Source organism: Homo sapiens, chromosome 3 (genome assembly GCF_000001405.40).
Source record: "Homo sapiens chromosome 3, GRCh38.p14 Primary Assembly".
Taxonomy (NCBI): domain Eukaryota; kingdom Metazoa; phylum Chordata; class Mammalia; order Primates; family Hominidae; genus Homo; species Homo sapiens.
In genome coordinates this window covers 56,987,477-57,010,307 of record NC_000003.12, presented here as the reverse complement: position 1 = coordinate 57,010,307, position 22,831 = coordinate 56,987,477, and the positions used below count along the sequence as shown (strand labels likewise).

The 22,831-nt window shown below is 46.3% G+C and overlaps 1 protein-coding gene across 12 annotated transcripts in view, besides 2 other annotated features; it reads left to right on the top strand.

Annotated features, from left to right (window-relative positions):
• ARHGEF3 (Rho guanine nucleotide exchange factor 3) overlaps positions 1–22,831 on the top strand; it is a 351,849-nt gene that overhangs the window by 68,961 nt on the left and 260,057 nt on the right. For 3 of the 12 annotated variants that reach the window (NM_001377410.1, NM_001377409.1, NM_001377408.1), the window contains one exon: positions 2,972–3,126. The exons of the other annotated variants lie outside the window; for them this stretch is intronic. In NM_001377410.1, the coding sequence (NP_001364339.1) occupies positions 3,125–3,126 (2 nt within the window). In that variant the 5' untranslated portion in view covers positions 2,972–3,124. The remainder of the gene's footprint in view (positions 1–2,971; positions 3,127–22,831) is intronic. 12 annotated transcript variants of the gene reach the window in all.
• Positions 2,433–2,727: an enhancer, noted in NCBI's record as "tiled region #6639; K562 Activating DNase unmatched - State 5:Enh, and HepG2 Activating non-DNase unmatched - State 23:Low". NCBI's record gives its function as "activates a minimal TATA promoter and a strong SV40 promoter by Sharpr-MPRA in K562 cells, with weak activation in HepG2 cells {active_cell/tissue: HepG2 | K562}" and the evidence as "EXISTENCE:reporter gene assay evidence [ECO:0000049][PMID:27701403]".
• Positions 3,283–3,814: an enhancer, noted in NCBI's record as "H3K27ac-H3K4me1 hESC enhancer chr3:57040522-57041053 (GRCh37/hg19 assembly coordinates)". NCBI's record gives its function as "activates a minimal SCP1, AML or CMV promoter by ChIP-STARR-seq in naive H9 embryonic stem cells {active_cell/tissue: H9 hESC(naive)}" and the evidence as "EXISTENCE:reporter gene assay evidence [ECO:0000049][PMID:30033119]".

Sequence of the window (22,831 nt, the reverse complement as noted above, 5' to 3'; positions counted from 1 at the left end):
ATTTTTTTTGTATTTTTAGTAGAGATGGGGTTTCACCATGTTAGCCAGGATGGTCTCTATCTCCTGACCTCGTGATCTGCCCGCCTTGGCCTCCCAAAGTGCTGGGATTACAGGCGTGAGCCACCACGCCCGGCCCACTGTGGTTTTTAATAATGGAAGAGGGTATAGAAGACAAGGTGTGTCCCTGAATTCTGAATATCTAAGGTATGTGTGCTGTGGCGCCTGCATGTTAAAAAGAGACAGGAGAAAGCCCTGAGGTCAGAAGCCCGGGCTCAGAAGGCAGCTGCCTGTGGTCCAGTTCCTGCTCCACCACTTGCTGCGGTGTGACTTTGTTTGAGTTCATGGCCTTGCTGTGCCTCTGTTTCATCATCTTTAAAATGGGTATGACGAGAATACCCATGCTTTGCACAGAGTAAGAGCTTACTAAATGTTAGCTGTCATGCTGTGTTGCTGCTCACTATTATTATTATTAATTAATCATAACATGATTATTATTACCACCTCCAATGAGATGGGCTGGTTTGAGAACTGAGATTCCATCCTGTGTCTCTTGGCTTGTGTGGTTCCTTTAAAGAGATGTGGAACAAGGTCCCATCTTCTTACCCTGGCATTCCATCACACAGACACACACTGGGTGTGCTGGGAGTCTTCTCCACGCACTCTCATTTGTTTCCCGCAGCAGTGTGGCTCACTTTTTGTTTAATCTCCTCCAGCAACTTGGCAGGCCTGCAGCCACCCTTCACATCCTGGCCTGTCCAGCAGGCTGATAAAATGCAGATGTAGCTACCACCCCGCTCAGAGATCCACCCGCCTCTAGCCTCACTGTCATGGGTCCCAAACATGGATTCTTGGCTGAGGGGCTGAGGGACTGGGATAAGGGGTGGCGGGTTGTGCGAGACAGCCCATAGAGGTCAGAGGGTCCGGGGAACTTTAGAAGTAGCTCTAGGTTCCTTGCATGAGCAGTGTCAGAATTGCAGGCAGGCTGGGGGATAGGCCCCAAGTTGGTGGATCTCCACTTAACAGATTTTTTGGTACTATTTTTTTTAAATAAAAAATTTTGATTTCATAGTTCATTCTTGAGCGTTCAGCTGAAATGAAAAGTGAAAAAGTTTAAGCAATATGTTAAAGGGCAGGGGTGGGGAGGAGCCGGACCTCAGAATGGGAGCCTCAAACTTGAGGCTCACAGGGCCAGCCCATCATGAAAATGAGAGCAATGGCTTGGGCCATGCATTCTGTTTCCCAGGAACTCATGGCCCATCCTGGTTCCTGCCTCCTGTTGAGAATGCTAGCCCATGGGGCCAGATCTGCCAATTTCCCAAGATCATGTAGAAATTGGAATCTTAATGTAAAACTTCCCAATTCTCATGAGAGCCATCTGGACTTTGAAATGTTGGCAATTCATTGAAAAAAATTCTTTTAAATATATTTTTGAGCTGGAATTGAAAATCCACCAGCTTGCAAGGGACTTGAGAGATGCTGTGCTTGTGCCCCTAGGGTTTACAGATGCGGAAACAGAGGTCCAGAGAAAAATGACAGGGCCTGGTACAGTGACTCATGCCTGTAATCCCAGCACTTTGGGAGGCTGAGGTGGGTGGATCAGATGAGGCCAGGAGTTCAAGACCGGCCTGGCCAACATGGAGAAACCCCGTCTCTACTAAACATAACAAAAATTAGCTGGGTGTAATTGCCTATAATCCCAGCTACTTGGGAGGCTGAGGCAGGAGAATTGCTTGAACCTGGGAGACAGAAGTTGCTGTGAGCCAAGATCACGCTACTGCGCTCCAGCCTGGGTAACAGAGTGAGTCTCTGTCTCAAAAAAAAAAAAGGCTTGTCCGTGGAATCCAGCTCTCTGGAGCTCCCACTGCAGATCTATTTCTTCCAATTCCATCCAGACAGTGTGTTTCTGTTTGGCAAGCGGGCTGTTACGTGGAGTTTTATTGCAGGTAAAGGGGTCATCCAAACTGCTCTGTGGAGCTAGCAGAGTGACCACAGGAGCCCCAGGAAGCGTGAGCGTGGTCTTCATTCTCGGTTGAGCCAAAAAGGCTCACACGTTTCCAGACAAGGCTATTCTTGGCAGGGCCACCTCCTAGGGATTAATCATACTGAAAAGCTCACAGATTTAATTTTGCTGAAGTTTGATCTGTTCTAGGAAAGTACATGTAGCGTGGCTCAACAGAGAATTTTCTGCCCAAGGATCTACACGGTTAATATATTTTGGAGATCTCAGCAGAGCACAAAGCAGGCTAGAAAAATTCTCGTGGTGTTAGGCCAATCCAGCTTTGTCCTCTGGCCAGGAAAGTCCAGACTGCCCCTGGACCATGGCACAAACCCAAGGTGCCCAGCTAAGCAGCCCTGCCGGGAAAAGGTGATGAGAAACTTGCCTTTGCTAAAATAGTTGAGCTGCCAAATGATAGCCTGACCTAGGGGCTCAGAAATGAATGTTTCCTGTTATGCAGGAGGAGAGGGGCAGGGTTTGATTCTTGTGTTCTCATGTGCTTGCTCACTCTGCTCGTAATAAGGAGAGAAGTTTTATTTTTGCAAGCTATTGCAGCGTGAGCCCTAAACACCAAAGCCAGTCTCTTGAAGAAAACTGATCAGGATCCAGGAGCAGTTGTCAGGCCCCTGGAGGGTGACTCATGAGCAGCAGAGTTCCCGGAACTCACCCGTCCCTGGTCGGCTAGGAAGAGGCTGAGTGTGGTGGTAAATGTGGAGGGGCGGGCGCAACACTGCAGGCATGGCCTCTGTTTTTGAAAAACATTGTGTGTTCGGGTCAAAGCATCCATCCCCTGTGAGCAACCCAATTTTAAAAATAGGAGGTTCTGCAGAAAACCAAGATGCCTGCCTGTTTTCACCTGGAAGACCAAATTCTCACTTTCCAAGCCTGATTTTGGAATAAACAAAATCAATTCCAGCTCAGCCTCAGCAGAAGGCACGTGCAGTGGTGACTGTTTCATGGCTGTCTTTCCTTCAGGGCTGTTGGAGGTGTTTCTGGAACCAGCGCAATCAATGGCAGGAACAACTGGTTTTTCAGGCTATTGAGAAAGTCTGATTTATGTGGCTGAAGTATGGTGTTATTGACCCCCCCACCTTCGACTCCTAAGATTCCAGAACAAACTGAGAATTCATGTGAGTCAGCACCTTATTTATTAATTCTTTATGGATGAATAACATAAAAACAAAAGTGCACAAGTAACTGTACACCTTGCTGGGTTTCACATGCTGAGCACACCTTAATAGTCAGCACCCAGAGTGAGGAGCACAGTGTGACCATCGCCCCAGGAGCGCCCCCTGTGGCCCCTCCACGGGCAGAACCAGCAGCCCAAATTCTCACCGTGTGTCAGTGGAATATCACTTGGATGTTGGGTCAGGAGTTTTGGGCTTAAAGATCCCTAAGCAGGGTTGTGCCATCCAGCTTTGGGAAAACTCAGCCAGGGAGGGTTGTTCTCTGAATGTCAGGAGGGAGACTCCTGTGGCGCTTAGGGCCCAAGGGAGATGCTGGTTCATTGGTTCTGATGGAGATGGATTTCCAGGCGGGCATGAGAAAGTGTGACCGTGTTTGGGGGGGTGTCGAGAGCAGGCAGCACATTGAACGAGTGACTGTGTTGGTGATGTTGTGTGTGTCACTGATACACGAGCATTTTCTTAAAGGCCGGATTATTTAGGACCTATGAAAAGCTACGATCTGCCTGTTGGGGGTGGGTGGGGTGAGATTCTGAACTGGAGCCAGAGAGAAATGCCATGTGTCTTTACTGATAGAAATCTGATCACCCCGGATGCTGCCTGTCAGCATGTGGGCTCTGGGGAGCTGTTTTCCTAACGGCTTGGAAGAAGCTTGTGGACAGTGGAGATCGGAGCGGGGAGCTCCGCCTAATGAGTTCCTTGTCTGTTGGCTGAAGGTGTGGGGTTTCTTTGAGGGAAGCCATTAGCCACTTTGATGGCTTGTTTGAAAACAACTGAAATCTATCTTGTCGGTGTAGTGGTTCTCCAGATACCTCACGCTGGTCATTGGCATCGACAGCTGGGAGCTCCCCTGGCAGGTGTGGCAGAACTTGGCTTCTCAGTGATTTGCTCTCACGTTACTTTAATGCATGACTGGGATGGTTTCTATATATACACTTGCTTTATGTGGCTCCAGGGAACAGGGAACATGGCAGATCCTATTAAAAGTGGTTCCTGGTTATCCAATATTCATTCAACATTGATTAAGCCACCAACTGTGTGCCAGGTGCTAGGGATAGCTTTATTTACAGTTATGGGGCCATCAGGCTTTATGTGGGTGCAGTGTTACAGGTAAGTTAATTATAGGCTTGAAGGCTGTATGTTGTCATATGCGTTTGTCACTTCTAATAGGTGCTCATCATATCCTAACAAGAAATAATATTGATTTATCCCAGAGGAGATCGCATACGTAAAAAACTTTGAACACTAGAAAGCGTTTGGCAAATCTGAGGGGTATTTTTGTTCCAGGGCATGTAACCTTCCCTTTCTATGCTGAGTTATGGTACAGAAGGGAGGCCCTCTGCCGGGTGCCCAGCAAACATTATTCTCTGCTTTTTACATATTAGAGAACGGAGCTTTATGGAAGTGATGCCGTCACTCCTTCAAGGACCCAGTTTACAGCTCCAGGTCCTGACCCTCAGCGCCAGACATGGATGAGTGAGGTCTATAGACAGAGATGGCAGGAACCCCTCCCGATAGGGAGCAGGATGGGCAGGCTGTCACAGCAACTGAAATGCTAGGCTTGTTTAGAGGACTTCCAGTGAGTCTGTGATTCATGTTGAGATTGCCCCGTTGCACAAAAAAATCCAGTTCTCATTGGCAACACTCCTTTCTCCCTTGTTTGATTTGACTGTGTGGCAGTGGGGACAGGTGGCACTGAGATGGGTTGCCACAGACATTTCTACTGTTGAGTTTGCCTCCCTGGGCTCTCATTCTGCTCCACTACTTACTAACTGTGGTTCGTGGGCAAGCTACTTTATGCTCTGTGCCTCAATTTCCTCATCTGTAAAAGGGGATAAATGTTAGTACCTAGGATGTAGTATTATGGTAAGTATTATGATAAGATTAAGTACTCAATAAATGCTGTCATTTCTTTTAGCTATTCCTGGACGTTCCCATTCCCATCTCTCAAATCTCTCAAATTCTGAAGCTGTTGTTCACCTAGGAGGTGCCTAGTAGAATCATTGTAGCTTATAATTTTGGCCTTATAGTCTACATTTTAGCAAGGGCTGAGATCCCTTGCAGATTCTAAGAAAGCATCTATAAAGAGGAAGACTTTCCTTTTTTGTACCTCCATTTATTTCAGGGATTACAGAGCTATATATATATATATATATTTATTTATTTTTAAAATGGAGTCTTGCTCTGTCACTCAGGCTGGACTGCAGTGGCACAATCTCAGCTCACTGCAGCCTCAAACTCCTGGGCTCAAGTGATCCACCTGTCTCAGCCTCCTGAGTAGCTGGGACTACAGGTGTATAGCACCATGCCTGGCTAATTTTTAGAACGGAGACAGGGTCTCACTATGTTGCCTAGGCTGGTCTTGAACTCCTTGCCTCAAGCAATCCTCCCGCCTCAGCCTTCCAAAGTGCTGGATTACAGGCATGAGCCACTGCGCCGGCTGCATAAACTATTATTGTCTAGGCATGTAATGAAATCTCAGTTTGCTTGGACAAGCTGGGGTAAGACTCTGTGACATGTTGTTTAAGATCAGTGCATGCTGGGGCCAGTTTACTTGAAAGGGGATCTGTAGATTGAAGATGCTGCTGCCTCTCTTACATGAGAATAATCTGCTTATGTGCCTGGCCTTGGCCAGACAGAAAGGAAATGTCGGGCATCAGCTGTCTGAAGGTGCGGTGAGGAACTGAAGAGAACAGAAGGAAAACCTGGCTGGTAAATGCAGACGAGCCACTGAAGGATTCCAGGAAGGAAGCCCCGAGGGTGTTGCTGTCTCCCTTGCCAGCTTTTTATCTCTTGCAAATGTGGACACGTTATCAGGGCGGATCTATTAGAAAATGAATCCACTGAAACATCTGCAAATAAGTGGCTCCAGACTGTCATTATCTCCCTGGGTTTTGTAACCAGTTGTGGCTGACGAGGACATTCTGCTGGGAAGGTCAGGGTCCTGTGTGTGTGGACCGAACACCTTCCCTCAGGTTCGCACAGCACCTCACTGGGCACGGCTGGGGCCCATATTCCATCCAGTCTTTAGGAGCAGGTGGTAGCTTCTCTGCCTCCCTCTGGATGAATGAGCTCCTTGAGGGCAAGGACTGGGGTCAGGGTCATTGACTGTGGTAGTTTCCAGTGGCTGCTGTAACAAATTACCACAAATCTGGCAATTTCAAACAACACACATTGATCATTTTACAGTTCTGGAGATCAGAAGTCTCCATGCAGTCTCACTGGGCTGGAGTCCAGATGCCAGCAGGCTTGGCTCCTTCTGGAGGCCATAGGGAAGGATCGGTTTCCTGGCTTTTCCAGCTTCTAGAGGCAGCCTGCATTCCTTGGCTCCTGGCCCCTTCCTGGCATGACTCTGACCTCTGCTTCCATGATCACATCTCCTACTACTGCTCGGACCTTCTTGCTTCCCTGTCAGAGGGTCCCTTTTGACCACATTGGGCCCACCTGGAGAATCCACGATACACCCCATCTCAAGATCCTTAACATAATCAGATCTGCAAAATGCCTTCTGCCATGTAAGGTAAAAAAGTCTTAGGTTTTGGGAATTAGGATGGGGACATCTTTTGGGGGCCATTATTCAGCCCACCACATGGACTCATACCCTGTAGTGCTAAGCTCACAGCCTTGGGTGCCAGCCTGCCTGGAGTCAGGTCCTAGCTCAGTCACTCATGAGCTTGGTGATATTGGCAAGTTATTTAACTTTTTTTTTTTTTTTTTTTTTTTTTTGAGACGGCGTCTCGCTTCGTTGCCAGGCTGGAGAGCAGCGGTGCGATCTCAGCTCCCTGAAACCTCCACCTCCCGGGTTCAAGCGATTCTCCTGCCTTAGCCTCCCGAGTAGCTGGGACTACAGGAGTGCGCCGCCACACCCAGGTAATTTTTGTGTTTTAGTAGAGACAGGGTTTCACCATGTTGGCCAAGATGGTCTCAATCTCTTGACCTCGTGATCCGCCCGCCTCTGCCTCCCAAAGAGCTGGGATTATAAGCGTGAGCCACTGCGCCCGGCCTTTAATTTCTTTTTAAGGAGCTTCCTCATCTAATATGGGGATAGAAATAGAACTTCCTGGGCACAGTGGCTCACGCCTGTAATCCCAGCACTTTGGGAGGCCGAGGTGGGTGGGATCACCTGAGGTCAGGAGACGGAGCCTGGCCAACATGATGAAACCCCGTCTCTACTAAAATACAAAAAATTAGCCGGGCGTGGTGGCGTGCGCCTGTAGTCCCAGCTACTCAGGAAGCTGAGGCAGGAGAATCGCTTGAACCCGGGAGGTGGAGGTTGCAGTGAGCCAAGATTGCGCCACTGCACTCCAGCCTGGTGACAGAGCAAGACTCTGTCTCAAAAAAAAAAAAAAAGAAAAGAAATAGAACTTCTTCTTCTAAGGCATAATTGAAATAATATATGAAGTGCTAAATAGCAATAGGTACTAGGCTTAATTCCTGGGTGACGAAATAATGTGTGTGACAAACCCCCATGACACACACGTTTACCTATGTAACAACCCCCCACATGTACCCCTGAACTCAAAGTATATATATTACATATATATAACACATATAACATACATATAACATATATATAACATAACATATATTACATATATAACATACATATATAACATATATATATATATAACATATATATATATATATAACATATATATATATATAGTGCTTAGAACAGTGCCTGGCATATATATATATATATAGTGCTTAGAACAGTGCCTGGCATATAATAAGTGCATTTTGAGTACTATATTTTATTATTACCATTATTCTACCCTTAATAAGCACTCAGAAATTGTGTGAATGCATATTCCATCTTCCAATTTGGTTCTTCTGACTGCTGATACTTAAGAACTGATACTACTGACTAATGATACTTCATCCTTATAGTAAAAGTTTTTTTAAAAATACTATGTCAGCCGGGCCCGGTGGCTCACGCCTGTAATCCCAACACTTTGGGAGGCCGAGGCAGGCAGATCACGAGGTCAGGAGATCGAGACCATGGTGAAACCCTGTCTCTACTAAAAATACAAAAAATTAGCCAGGCACGGTGGTGGGCGCCTGTAGTCCCAGCTACTCAGGAGGCTGAGGCAGGAGAATGGCGTGAACCCGGGAAGCGGAGCTTGCAGTGAGCCGAGATCACGCCACTGCACTCCAGCCTGGGCAACAGAGTGAGACTCCGTCTCAAAACAAAAAACAAAAAAAAAAAAAACTATCTCACTTTGGGTTTTAGGATTTAAGACGAGACTACAAAACTGACTCATCTTTTGTGAGGAAATATCTTCTATTCCTTTGTGGAATGATACATAAATGGTGTTGAAGGCAGGAGGAGGTTAATTTGGCACCTAAATAATTCAGTTGGCTACAGTTCAAGCCTTCTTTTCACTCCGCCATCCCCTTGGTGAGGCTTTGCCTTATGTTTGCACTATGGCTGCTCATCTCCTGCCCTCATGTCCACGTTCCAGCAGGAAGAAGGAAGGAGAAGGGAAGGCCTGCACTGTATCAGGAAAACAAAGTCTTTCAGGAATCCCAGCAGATTTCTGTTTACATATTTGGCCAGAACTGAAGCTCTGTAGCTACAGGGGGTCTGGGAAGGTAAGAATGTTGAATTGCAACTTGGGAACGTGTTGAGTTCTGTTAAAAAGGACAAAAGGATGCATCAGCATCTGTCGTGATTCCCTAGAACAAGAATGGCTGCATGCTTATTGAAGCGTTGTTTGTACAAATGGCAAAAAACTCTGAACACCTAAATGTTCATCCACAGGAGAATGCGTAAATTAATTGAGCTTATATCCATATAATCAAGTACTATAGAGCAGTTATCACCTGCATGCATCAACGTGGATAAGTCTAAAATGTATAACATTTCAAATACAAATTTGCAGAAGGACCTGGCACAGTGGCTCATGCCCATAATCCCAACCCTTTGAAAGGCTGAAGCAGGTGGATTGCTTGAGGCCAGGGGTTCAAGACCAGCCTGGGCAACATAGCAAGACTCCATCTCTACAAAAAAATTAAAATTTAGCCAGGCATTGTGGTGCATGCCTGTAGTTCCAGCTACTTGGGAGGCTCAGGTGGGAGGATTGCTTGAGCCCAGGGATTTGAGGCTGCAGTGACTTATGATAGTGCCACTGCACTCTAGCCTGGGCAACAAAGCAAGACCCTGTCTCTAAAAAAAAATTAAAAAATAAAATTGCAGAAGGTTATATAGGTATAATATAGTATGATTCCATTTACATAAAGTTTACATGTAGAAACACTTCTGTTACTTACAGTTAAATAATAAGGTAGTAGTGGCTGGGCATGGTGGCTCATGCCTGTAATCCCAGCACTTTGGGAGGCTGAGTCGGGTGGATCACTTGAGGTCAGGAGTTCGAGACCAGCCTGGCCAACATGGCGAAACCCCATCTCTACTAAAAATACAAAAATTTGCCAGGCAAGGAGGCGTGTGCCTGTAGTCCCAGCTACTCTGGAGCCTGAGGCAGGAGAATCACTTGAACCCGGGAGGCAGAGGTTGCAGTGAGCCGAATTGTGCCACTGCACTTCAGCCTGGGCGACAGAGTGAGACTCCGTCTCACACACATGCACACAAATAATAATAATAGTAGTAATAATAATAATAATAATAATGTAGTAAAGGTAAAAAATACAAATGGGGGTGATTGACACCACATCAAAAGGGAGGACATGGAGAGGAATTTGACTGGGGAGGGATGTACAGTGAGCATCAGTTGTTACCTATGATCAGGGAAGGATCCAGGTTTTGTGGGGCCTGATGCTTAAGGTGTGTGTGTGTGTGTGTGTGTGTGTGTGTGTGGGAGTTACCCTCTAAAAAAAGGACTTTACAATAAATCTGCCTCTCACTGGTTATTGTAAGAGTGTATGTGATGCACTGAGAAGTCATTTCTGAAGATACGTGGGGCGCTCTTTGTAGAGAAGTGAAAATAACATTCACTATGACAATAGCTAACATTTATCGAGCCCTTACCATATGCCAGGCACTCGGGCAAGCATTTGCAGGCTTTTCTCATTGATTCCTCACAATCAGCCTAGGATACAGATGCTGCCTATTAGTCTCATTTTATGGCTGAGGAAGCAGAGGCTCAGAGGGGTTAAGTCATTTGCCCAAGGCCACACAGCTAGTATATGATAGAGTCAGGGTTCAAGCATATGGAGCAAAACAGGACTTGTTTCCTATGGTTTAAGCATTCCCTACATAGTGATCTCTCACTGTCATAATTACATGCCTACTATGTTCTCTTCAGTAAAGATCTCTTATTTTTAGTTGACTAGAGGAAGGGCAATATGAGCAGAAAATTTTTCTTGTTTTGGGGATGAGGTCTCACTCTTTTTCCAAGGCTGGAGTGTAGTTGTGCAATCATAGCTCAGTGTAGCCTGGAATTCTTGGACTCAAGCAATCCTGCTGCTTCATCCTCCCAAGTAGCTGGAACTACAAGTGTGCACCATCACATCTAACTAATTTTTGTAGAGATGGGGTCTGGCTATATTGCCCAAGCTGATCTGAAGCTCCTGGCTTCAAGCAATCCTCCTGCCTTGGCCTCCCAAACTGTTGGGATTACAGTGTGAGCCTGGAAAATATTTGCTAAAATATTAAAAAATAAAGTTTTATTTCTTCCCACTTCACGAAGGTTATATTTGGAATTAAGACAGTGTGTTCTTTAATAGTATTTTTCATAGTAATTGATTTGATGAGTAGGCAAGAATGATTTGTGATAAGTTAAATGTCTTAGATAAGTGTATGATTAAAAAATAGCTCATCCGGGTGTGGTGGCTCATGCTTGTAATCTCAGAACTTTGGGAGGCCGAGGTGGGCGGATCACTTGAGGTAAGTAGTTCGAGACCAGTCTGGCCAACATGGTGAAACCCATCTCTACTAAGAAGATAAAAATTAGCTGGGCATGGCACCTGTAGTCCCAGCTACTCAGGAGGCTGAGGCAGGAGAGGCAAGAGAATCACTTGAACCCGGGAGGCAGAGGTTGCAGTGAGCCGAGATCACACCACTGCACTCCAGCGTGAGCGACAGAGCAAGACTCTATCTCAAAACAACAACAACAACAAAAACCTCTTGAAAATTCTTACTACTTTATCTGTTGGCTGAACTAATGCCAAGCTCCCATCATGAATAATCAAGAATTTCAACCTGATGACTTCTTGGTAATAATAAAGTTCAATGGGGTTCTTCTCATATGGAGTGTACATAAAACACTGTGAGGGCCCAGAACAGCAAAACGTGCTTAAAGGTGGACATGGGATCTGCTTCAGGGTATCTGCTGAGGTTAGGACTCTGTGTGCCTGTGGGCATAAACATGTGGACATACCTTCCTTTGGATCCTGAAATGGCCAATTCCACAGTAGGGGGAAAGGAGGAAGGACAGCTGTGTTTGAATCTATCATTTCTTGAGACAGCTTGCATTAAAAGTCAAACCAAGAAAACCCAAATGGCCACTTGGCTTTCTGTGGTGTTTGGGAAGGCAGTTTGAGGAGTGGTCTGTGAAGTCCCTGGGCAGGAGGGCTCGGGCTGAGGGCTCAGCTGTGGCACCCCCAGATGACTGCTGAGGTCATGAAGGAGCTCATAGCACCATTCATGTTTCTGGACTCAGTCATTGTGCCTGGGGTCCCCATAGCAAGGAAAGTAGGGAAGTGAACCAAGGTCCAGCCAGTGTTGCTCTTGGCTGCAGGGAAGGAAAAAAAAAAAAAAAGTCAGGATGACCGGGAAGAGAAGGAGCCAAGCCACCTTCCTGGTCCTATTTAATGAGTGTTAATCTTTGTAAATATTCAACAGTATCTGATACCAAGTAATAGCTTTGCCAAATGAGTGAGTGGAGGGCCTCTTTCTGTTTGATTTCCCTGGTTAGTTTTTTTGTGTGTGTGCAGAGAGAGTTTGGACCATTTTCTTTTGTGTGTTTGTGTGGATTGAATAAAAGAGTGATTGTTTTTCAATTGTCTCTATGCAGGAAGCCTTGGCTGACTGTAAAAATTTGGCACTGGGAAGCGAGCAGCAGTTTGCGATGTTACTGATTCAGTGTTTGCATAAATAACTTTGAGAACCTTAAAAACCCAACTGTACATTATACCTTGTAGTTGCAGGACATCAAAGTTAATTAAGTCTTGTCCGCCTCATTTTGCAGATGAGGAAACAGAGGCCAGAAGAGCTTGCATGTGACGTTGCCTTCAACTGTACACACGTTCATGAGAAGTGTGACTTTGGAATTGTGAAAGTTTTATGAGTTCTTGCTGAAGCATCTTCCAGGAATTCTAGAATTGGAATGTGGAGGCCCTGGAGGAGTGAAAATAGAAAATCTTTCAGTTTTCCTGATAATACAGGGGAATGACAGGGCAGTGAAGTAAGGGGTGCAGAGCAGGTGTTTGGATCATTTACCCTTCGTCATCTCCTACTGGGGGCCTCTCATTGTACTCGCAGGCTGTCTCTCTGTTGATCAGGGCAAAGGCATACGTGGATGTGAAAAAGCCCCCACAAACAGCTCCTCTGAGTTCCTGTGACAACCTGCCCGGGGTAGATCTGCGCGGAGTCAGCCCTGTTTATGGAGAGGCTGCCAGACCCCACTTTTGCCCAGGCCTTCTTGCTCAGGCAAGCCTGCTGCTAAGCTCTTAGGGGGGCAGAGTTTGCTTTTGGCATCTCTTTCTGCCCACCCTTAGCCATCTTCCTCTTGATACCAGCCCCTTCCAAGAACCAAGAGCCCTCCACCTGATCCCTGGGCCCGACTGTCTTCCAGGCCATGGACTGGGCAGAAGTGACCAAATGTGGACCCTGCTCTGCAGGACCTCCCCACAGGGCATGTGAGTGGACAGGCTAGAAGTCTGAATTGAGAGTTGGGGGCTCCGGGGGAGTGGTCCATCCTGAGGGAGGTCATGAGGGTCAGAAAGACTTGTCAGAGAAGATGGCCCTGGGGCTGGGTCATCAGAGGCTGAGCTGCTCAGTGGAAACCAAGCATCGCAGGCCTCAGTGCTGTTTGGTGGCAAGTGCTTCTGCAGGGCTGGAGGCCCTGTGTGGGGATGCTGGGGTAGGGATCCCAGGAAATGAGTTGAGGGGTAGGTGAGGTGGGGAGGGTTGTAATGGCTAGAGCAGGGGTGTTCAATCTTTTGGCTTCCCTGAGCCACATTGGAAGAAGAATAATTGTCTTGGGCCACACATAAAATACAGTAACACTAATGACAGCTGATGAGCAAATAAGCAAATTGCAAAAAAAAAAAAAAATAATAATAATAATAATAATAATGTTTTAAGAAAGTTTCCGAATTTGTGTTGGGCCACGTTCAAAGCTGTACTGGGCCCGCCTGCGGGCCACAGGTTGCACAAGCTTGGGCTATAGGGTCTGCATAGCTGTGCTTTTTTATCTTGGATTTTATTCTGTAAGAGATACGGGGCCTTGCTGTCTTAGTCCATTTGAGCTGCTGTAGCAATACATCATAAAGAGAGTGGCTTATAAACAACAGAAATTTATTGATTTCTCACAGTTCTGGAGGCTGAGAAGTCCAAGGTCAAGGTGCCAGCAGATTCAGCATCTTGTGAGGGCCCATTTCCTCGTTCATAGATGGTGCCTTCTCACTGTGTCCTCATGAGATGGAAAGGAAAGAAGCTCTCTGGGGCCTTTTATTAATGCACTAATCCCATTCATTTAATCACCTTCCAGAGGCCCTACCTCCTCATACCATCACATGGGGGATTAGGTTTCAACCCATGAATTTTGGTGAGACACAAACATTCAGACCATAGCAATTTCAAGGGTTTGAAATGGGATGAGGAAGGAATAACTATATTTGAGATTTAGAAGCTTCTCGTTTGCAGTGTGCAGGGAGAGCTAAGATAGGGAATAGACAGGAGAGGAGGGGGTTTGAAGCAGAGTGGATGCAGAAATGAGGGAGGGTGGCTCAGCAGACCCCCTGGGTTCCACAGTGGAAATGGGGGCAGATGGTGATGCCAGTCATTAAGACTGTGTTTCAGTTGGTGAGTCCCAGTCTCTAGGTCTACAAAATGAGAATAAGGGATGATGATGGGGATTAAAGGCAATCTCATGGGGGCTGTGCTTGGAGGGCACTGTCACCTGTGTTTTTTTCCTTCTTTCAATTGAAAGCTCCCAACCTTGTGTTCCAATCCCCCAGGGCCTTGCTCTTTGATAACTCAGCTGATGAATTACTTCTCATCACAGGTGGGAGTTAATGGTTGATGGGAATTAATATGTTATCCGGTCCTGGTAGCCTATTTCCATTTTAAACAGAGGTTCTCACTAACTAGACTAAAGGAGTCCTCAGACTTTTAGGGCAGCCTTGAATTTGTCATCAAAATTTTGCCAGAAAATCTTCAAATGTCCAATTTTAGCTTCAACTTATATTTTTTAGTTTCCTCTCTATTCAACTTACATTTTTTAGGTTTCTCTCTACTGGGGTCTCAAATTGAGACCAGGTTAAAAAAAATTCTCTCTCTCTCTCTCTCTCTCTCTCTCTCTCTCTCTCTCTCTCTCTCTCTCGGAAAATTTACTCTCTTTTGCCCCCTAGTGTCAGACTTTTGAATACCTCTTTGAGTCCAGTCACTTTGGGATTGATTGAAAAAATGATGATTGCATGTCTCCTGTTTGCTGGGTGCCACAAAGATCCTCACTGCCTGATCTTATCATGGCCATTCAGTCCATTCCTAAAGAAGCAGCAAGGCATATAAACAAAGTTAAAATGAATTCTGTCTGGAAGATTTTATATCTTTTTTTTAGCATTTCACATTACTCTTTGATACAACAAATCAGAGTCATCAGAGGACGAGCTTGGTAAAGGACAGTTGTCAAAGTCCTAATTCCTGAGAAGGACAAGATGCCTCTTCACTGAACTCCACCCCCCAGACGCCGGCCTCAGCTCATAGCACAGAGGAAAATTATGATCCTTGAGCATAAATTGCTTTACAAAGAGTTGAAAATTGGTGCTCTGTGCCCCAGCCATTGTATTAGTCCATTTTCACACTGCTATTAAAGAACTACCTGAGACTGGGTAATTTATAAAGAAAAGAGATTTAATTGATGAACAGTTCCCCAGAGGAGAACTGAGGCCCAGTCTCCTGAGGCCTCAGGAAACTTAGAATCATGGCAGAAGGCAAAGAGGAGGCATGGCACATCTTACATGGGGTCAGGAGAGAATGAGAGTGAGGGGGGACGTGCCACACTTTTAAACCATCAGATCCTGAGAGAACTCACTCACTGTCACAAGAACAGCAAGGGGGAAATCCACCACCAGGTCCAGTCACCTCTCACCAGGCCCTTCCCCTGACACATGGGGATCACAGTTTCACATGAGATTCAGAGACACAGATCCAAACCATATCAGTCAGTCATCATTCCTGCCGCATCTTGTATTTTCTTCTATTGTCCTGGATTCGGGGGAGTGTGGGAAGTTTTTAAGTTATACTGTGTTTTGTTACAGGTTTAATGAGAAAAATATGAAAAGATTACCCATCCATACCGTTGCTAGTATCTTGAGACAATTAAGGCATATGGTAATGGAAAAATATGAACTCTTCAGCGAGGGTGGTGGAAACTCCTTTTCCAAGAGGGAAAAGGGAAATCCCTTTTCCAAGAGGGCTGTTGAAACTCTTTTCCCTTTCTGGCGAATAATTTTAGAAAAATAGTCATGTTATCCACAAAGTAGTCTCTTTTGAAAAATCCAAACAGATTGAAAAAAGAGACTTAAATTCTCCGTAAGTTATATTTTAATGCTCAGGATGATTCAGGTCAGTGCCCAACACAGTGCCTGATGCACATGAGCCCTCCAGAAATGGCACCTGGCAGCCTTTTAGTACTAGAGCTTCTATAGTTAAACCTCGTTTCCTTGCCGTGCTTTTTGCTTGTTAGTTGTTTTGGGCTTTACATTTGTGTAGGGAAATTTTGCCCAAGTTTCATGTAGAGTTGTATCATTTACTTACTTAACAAAGCCTTGTGAGATTTCAAAAAATACATCTGATAATCATAACAACTATGAAAATAACACACGTTTAGATTGTGTGTTATAATCTACAGTGTGCTTTTTTTTTTTTTTTTTTTTTGAGACGAAGTTTCACTCTTGTCGCCCAGGCTGGAGTGCAATGGCGCGATCTCGGCTCACTGCAACTTCCGCCTCCCGGGTTCAAGCGTTTCTCCTGCCTCAGCCTCCTGAGTAGCTGGGATTACAGGCACCCATCACCACGCCCGGCTAATTTTTTGTATATTTAGTAGAGACGGGTTTTCACCATGTTGACCAGGCTGGTCTTGAACTTCTGACCTCATCCACCTACCTTGGCCTCCCAAAGTGCTGGGATTACAGGCGTGAGCCACCGCGCCTGGCCTACAGTGTGCTTTCATCCATGATCACTGAGCCTTTTAATGAGATATGAATATTTCTCCTTCCACATGAGGAAACTGAACCTCAGGAAGGTTAAGCAATGTATCCAAAGTTAGGCTGGGCACGGTGGCTCATGCCTGTAATCCCAGCACTTTGGGAGGCTGTGACAGGAGGATTGCTTGAGCCCAGGAGTATGAGATCAGCCTGGGCAACATAGGGAGACACCGTCTCTACAAAAAATTTAAAAATTAGCTGGCCATCGTGGAACGCACCTGTAGTCCCAGCTACTTGAGAGGCTGAGGTAGGAGGATCGCTTGAGCCCAGGAGGCCGAAGCTGCAGTGAGCCAAGATCGCACTACTGTACTCCAGCCTGGGCAACAGAGTGAGACCATGTCTCAGAAACAAAAACAAAAGCACAACAAAAAACCCCCACAAAGTTATATAGTTAAGGATCAGCCTCTGGTTGGGGTCTTCTTCCTGCTCCCATTGCTAATGTCCTTTATGCCAGGAAAGAGAGCAAAAACCTCTGTTCAAATCTTGAACTAGGAGTTGATTTAGACAGGCAAAATCAGGAGGATGAAGTAAGGCTTGAGTGTAGAATGATGTTTTCAGTGGAAATTATCATCCTATTGTAGAATTTAAAAAGCTTCCTTGAGGCCAGGCGCGGTAGCTCACACCTGTAATTCCAGCACTTTGGGAGGCCAAGGCAGACAGATCGCCTGAAGTCAGGAATTCGAGGCCAGACTGGCCAATATGGTGAAACTCTCATCTCTACTAAAAATACAAAAATCAGCCAGGCATGGCGGCATGCAGCTGTAATCCCAGCTACTGGGGAGGCTGAGGCAGGAGAATCGCTTGAACCCAGGCGGCAGAGGTTGCAGTGAGCCGAGATAGCGCCACTGCACTCCAGCCTAGGCAACAGAGTGAGTCTCCATCTCCAAAAAAATAAAAAATAAAATAAAAAGCTTCCTTGAGCAGGTATTGACTTGGTGCAGGTATTAACCATGTTGACTTAGTGAACAAGCAGACTGGGAAGCTGGACCAAGCCACAGACTGCGCTGGGGTTGAGAGAGCACCTGGCACTGAGCAGCTCATGTTCACAGAGGGTAATTGTCCTCTGTGCTATGTGCTGAGGCTGGTGCCTGGGGTGGAGTCCAGTGAATTTAGGACTTCACCAACTGTCCTTTACCTGGCTCATCCCCTGATGACTGAAGGATGGCATGATCCAGGAAACATAGTTCTCCCATGCTGTGTTCTTAGCCACTGCATGTGTCTGGAGCAGACAGAAGGGACTCAAGTTGACAGTCAGTTCATAATGTTGGTACAGCTGGGGCTGATTGAGACAGATGCTGGAGGCCACATGACCTTCTTTCTGTTTTTTTTTTTTTTTTTTTTTTTTTTTTTTTTTTTTTTTAAAGCCATCCTCCCTACCATAGGACCTTTGTACATGGTGTCACCACCTCTGCCTGAAATGCTTTCCTCACCTTCATTCTTCAGATTTCACAGGTCTCATACAGAGGTTCATTTTTCTCTGACTCTTGTACAAATATATACTTAGCCTGGGCAAAATATTTATTTAACTCATTAATGAGCGAACTAGCAGGATGAGGATGAGAAAGCTGGTTCTAAGGACCATCCAGGAACACACACACATTTAACTCATTAATGAGCGAACTAGCAGGATGAGGATGAGAAAGCTGGTTCTAAGGACCATCCAGGAACACACACACACACACACACACACACACACACACACACACACACAGAGAGAGGAGGGGAGAGAGAGTGAGAGTGAGTGAGTGAATTATGGAAAAATATTATGGAAAAAAGAATGCTGGAATAAGATTGCAAACTCAGATATAAAACTGGTTAATGGGCCGGGCGCGGTGGCTCATGCCTGTAATTCCAGCACTTTGGGAGGCTGAGGCAGGTGGATCACCTGAGGTCAGGAGTTTGAGACCAGCCTGGCCAACATGGTGAAACCCCATCTCTACTAAAAATGCAAAAGTTAGCTGCTCGTGGTGGCATGCCCCTGTAATCCCAGCTACTCGGGAGGCGGAGGTGGGAGAATTGCTTGAACCTGGGAGGCAGAGCCTTCAGTGAACTGCGATCGTGCCACTGCACTCCAGCCTGGGCGACAGAGCGAGACCCTGTCTCAAAAACAAAACAAAACAAAACTGATTAATGTCCCATAGGAAAATAACACTGTAACCTTTGAGACTGTATCTGACAGAATTCTTTTTTGCAATTTATCAAATTTATCAATCTTTAACAAGTTAACAACTTAACTTTACAGAGTCTGGGCCCTAATCAAAAGCAAATAGTGAATCAAACAAAAATAACCTCCCTGTAAGCAGACTCGGGGTGTAGATAGATGACTTTGAAAAGTTATACTTTATTTCCAAGTTTGGGACAGTTTTTTTTTCTTTTTTTAACAGCATTCTATCTTGAGTGGCTAGCATAGTACCTGACACAAAGGAGGAACTAGTGACTGTTTCTTGAATGAATGAGCAAATGGGGAAAGGTTGGATCCTCAGGCATGTGAGTGGCCAGGGTATTAATACAGGAAAAGCCTTCCACTAGGAAGTTGAACCTCAGCCTTCATGCTGGAGGAGTCTGGGGTCGGAAGACCAGCTGTGAGCAGCCTGAGAGGGACTAGGGTAATGGGGCAGTTACCCAAACAGGGCTTGGGGCGGTAAAAGACATGGCAGGAATCTAGCAGTGAGAACTAGGTTATCAAGCAGGAACTGGGTCTTAAGAACAAGGGAGAATTCGGTGATTAGGACAAAGGGAGGGGAAGGAAAGGGACTGTTATTTGTGGCTTCACCCACAGTGTGCAATTCATTGTGCAAAGCTGAGTGTACACGGCTCATCTCACGCTCACCCCTCACCTGACCCCTTAGGCAGGATTATTGTTCCTCTGGTTCAGAGGCAGAGAGCCTCACAGATAGAGCTGGGGTTGTGGAGATGTTGAATTTAAGCTCTGCCATTCATGAGCTGGGTGACCCTTAGCAAGTTACTGGCTGTCTCCGCCTGTTTTTTTACCTATAAAATTGTAATGTAATCTAAGCAAATAGCAAAGTCCACAATCCTCCAGACTTAGGCTTTGGTTACATTCAGAGATTTGAAATCCATTAGCTAACAATAAAGGCAGTTCTTTTTATTTGTGTCTCTCAAAGAATAGTCAAGGGGGATCCATTTTATAACCAATACCAACTCTTTTAGGAAACTACTCTCAGGTAGTGGCATGATCTCAGCTCACTGCAACCTCTGCCTCCCGGGTTCAAGTGATTCTCCTGCCTCAGCCTCCCGAGTGTATCTGGGATTACACGTGCACGTCACCACGCCCAAGTAATTTTTGTATTTTTAGTGGAGACAGAGTTTCACCATATTGGCCAGGCTGGTCTCGAACTCTTGACCTCAAGTGATCCATCTGCCTTGGCCTCCCAAAGTCGTGGGATTACAGGCGTGAGCCATGGCCCAGCCACCTTGCAGGTGTTCTGAAACCTCTCTTGCCCTTCCCTGGACTCTGCTAAAGTTCTCCTTCCATTTGCTTTGCCCCAGAAGACTTTCCTCTTCTACCCCACCTCTGGTATTCTCTTTTCTCTCTCTGTCCTTGTTTCTCTCCCCTCTGATTAATGCACTTTGCATATGGAAACTGATGAACTCAGACTGCATAATGGAGGGAAGAAGATGGTAGATGGGGCAGAGCCTTTCCTTATCTGGGTAGCGAAGCTGGGAAGCTGGGTAGCGAAGCTGGGTAGCGTCATTGTTTTAAATAATTCTTGCCCTTGATTCGGGGAGATCAGCTCCCTCACAGTCCCATAGCGTGGTCATGAGGATTACTTTGAAGTTTCTGGCAGTTAGTGGACCTTTGGTAAATAGCGGCTCCCATTATTGTTCCAGAGGAGGAAAGTCAAGTTCACAATGGGGACATCTTGCAGCTGTGAAGTGATGAAGGGGTTTGAAGCTCAGCCAGGTTGGCTCCCGTGCGTAAAGTCTGAGTGAGCAGAAAGCCAGGAGAGTTAGAACTCACTGATGAAGTCAGGGTTGTTCCTAGGGAGTGGGGCAGGGGTGGTGCTGGGGCTGGAATCCACGAGGGCCCCAGCTGTGGGGAGGCAGCAGCCTTACTAGAGGCCAGATGAGTGCTGTCCTGGGCTTGAGTCTGGGCGTGTGTCACAGGCTGGATGATTCTAGAGCAACCCATCCAGCGCCAGCTCTCAGCCACTGTGATTGCTCAGCCACCAGGAGCCCCCTGCCCCCTGGGCACAGACCTGCTGGGGTTTTCTGCAAGGAAGCAGCAGTTTTGGCTCGGAGTGTCTCTCTGTACACTTTGGAGTCTAGTCAAGAGGACAGCCTCTTAAAATGGAAATGGGGCACTGCTGTGGGCCACCTGTGGACACTTGATTGCTCTCCCCAAGTTACTTGTATTCTCTGAGGCAGATGTCACGCTACAGCATCCACAGGGCCATTTCTAGTGCACCAGCAAAAAAAAAACGCAAGCGAGGAGTGGAATAAAATGCTCCTTGACCTTGTCCTTTCTTTCATCTCTTATCCTTTTAGGAAAAGAAGACTTTTTGTTTTCAGTTCAGATTTTAAAAAAGAACTAAATAGGGTACTTGAGACTTGCCACCCGGCAGCGGAGCTGGAGCCCTCCGGGAGGCATGGACGAAGTAATCAACTGAAGTTTTCTAATACCGGCCAGCAGAGGGCACTCTTCACTCACAATCGGTGCTGTCTTTCTCCTTGGAAACGTTCAGTGGCTGCAGGAGCCCTGGAAAAAATTGTCTTCCAGCTATTTGTAATTTAACTTTGAGTCCTCAAGAGGGTACCTTCCCCTTTTAGAGTTGCAGTGTTGGTGCTATTATTTTAACACCCGCATCTGCTGTTGTCTGGGCATCAAAGTCTAGAAAAGTCATGAGGGAGATGCATTCTCCAAGGTTCTGAGCACAAGATTCAGACAGAAACGGGGCCAGATGGGCACATACTGTTGCATAAACACCAATTAATTAATACTGGGCTCCAGATGAGCCCAGCCTGCCAAACTCGTGAGCTTCACACCTCCATGGTCTGGGCCCTGCCTCCCTTTGGTACAAAAATTAAAGAGACAGTTGCAAAAACCAGAGCATTCACTGGCCAGTCCTAGTAGGGAACAACACTGGGACATGCAGGGCACTGTGCTTCCCATGGGGACACTTTAATTCTTTCCTGTGGATTCTTCCTCTCCCTGCCAACATACTTTTAATCTTGTTGATGCTATTAATAATAATGACAGGTGACATTTATTGTGCTCTTATCATGTGCTGGGCACTTTTATGACTACTAGCTTATTTAACTCTCTTAGGCCAGGTGGGGTGGCTCATGCCTGTAATCGCAGCACTTTGGGAGGCCGAAGCGGGTGGATCACGAGATTAGGAGTTCAAGACCAGCCTGACCAACATGGTGAAACCCCGTCTCCACTACAAATACAAAAAAATTAGCTGGGCATGGTGGCGTGCGTCTGTAGTCCCAGCTACTCAGGAGGCTGAGGCAGGAGAATCACTTGAACCTGGGAGGCGAAGGTTGCAGTGAGCCAAGATCGCGCCACTGCACTCCCCTGCCTGGGCGACAGAGTGAGACTCCATCTCAAAACAAACAAACAAAAACAAAACACAAAACCAAAGAAAACAAAACAACCCTCTTAAAGTCCCAAGAGGTGGGGAACTGCTGGAACTTCTGAGGTTTTGTGAGGGTCAGGTACTTGCTGAGGGTCACTTAGCAGGTGAAGGAGGAGCCAGGTTGACCCCTCAGAGCTGTTGCCCATACCTGTCTGTCACCCATTTGTGGAGTCCCATTTATGCTCTGGACATCAGGTGGTAAGCCAGTGGTGTGCACACAAGACACAGTGCATCTCTGGCTAATTTTAATTATTTTAGTTTTGAATGTGTTAATCAAATACTTGAAAATTGAAAAGGAAGAGAAAGCCAGCCAGCCCTCAGAGAGCATACGCTGTGAGTGGAGGCCCTGAGGTGTCCATGTTCCTGAGGTGGTCTCTTAGTGGCTGCAGGATTGGCTGTGCACGGTAGGGGGAGTGAGGTTAGTGGGGCTGGCTCCTTCCTTTCCTTCCTTCTAGATCAACTCTGCTTCTACCAGGTTTATGTAGGATTGGGCTTGACCCAAGGTTTCTGCTGCTGAGAAGCTCTCAGCAAAACCCCAGTGTAGTGGCTCTTAGCTAAGGGCATGCCCAGGAGTGTTCATCACCCCGTCCCCAGAGTCCCTTTCATCTTCTGTTTCTCTTTCCAGCAGCTCCTTCCCTCCTGCCTGCAGATTGGGC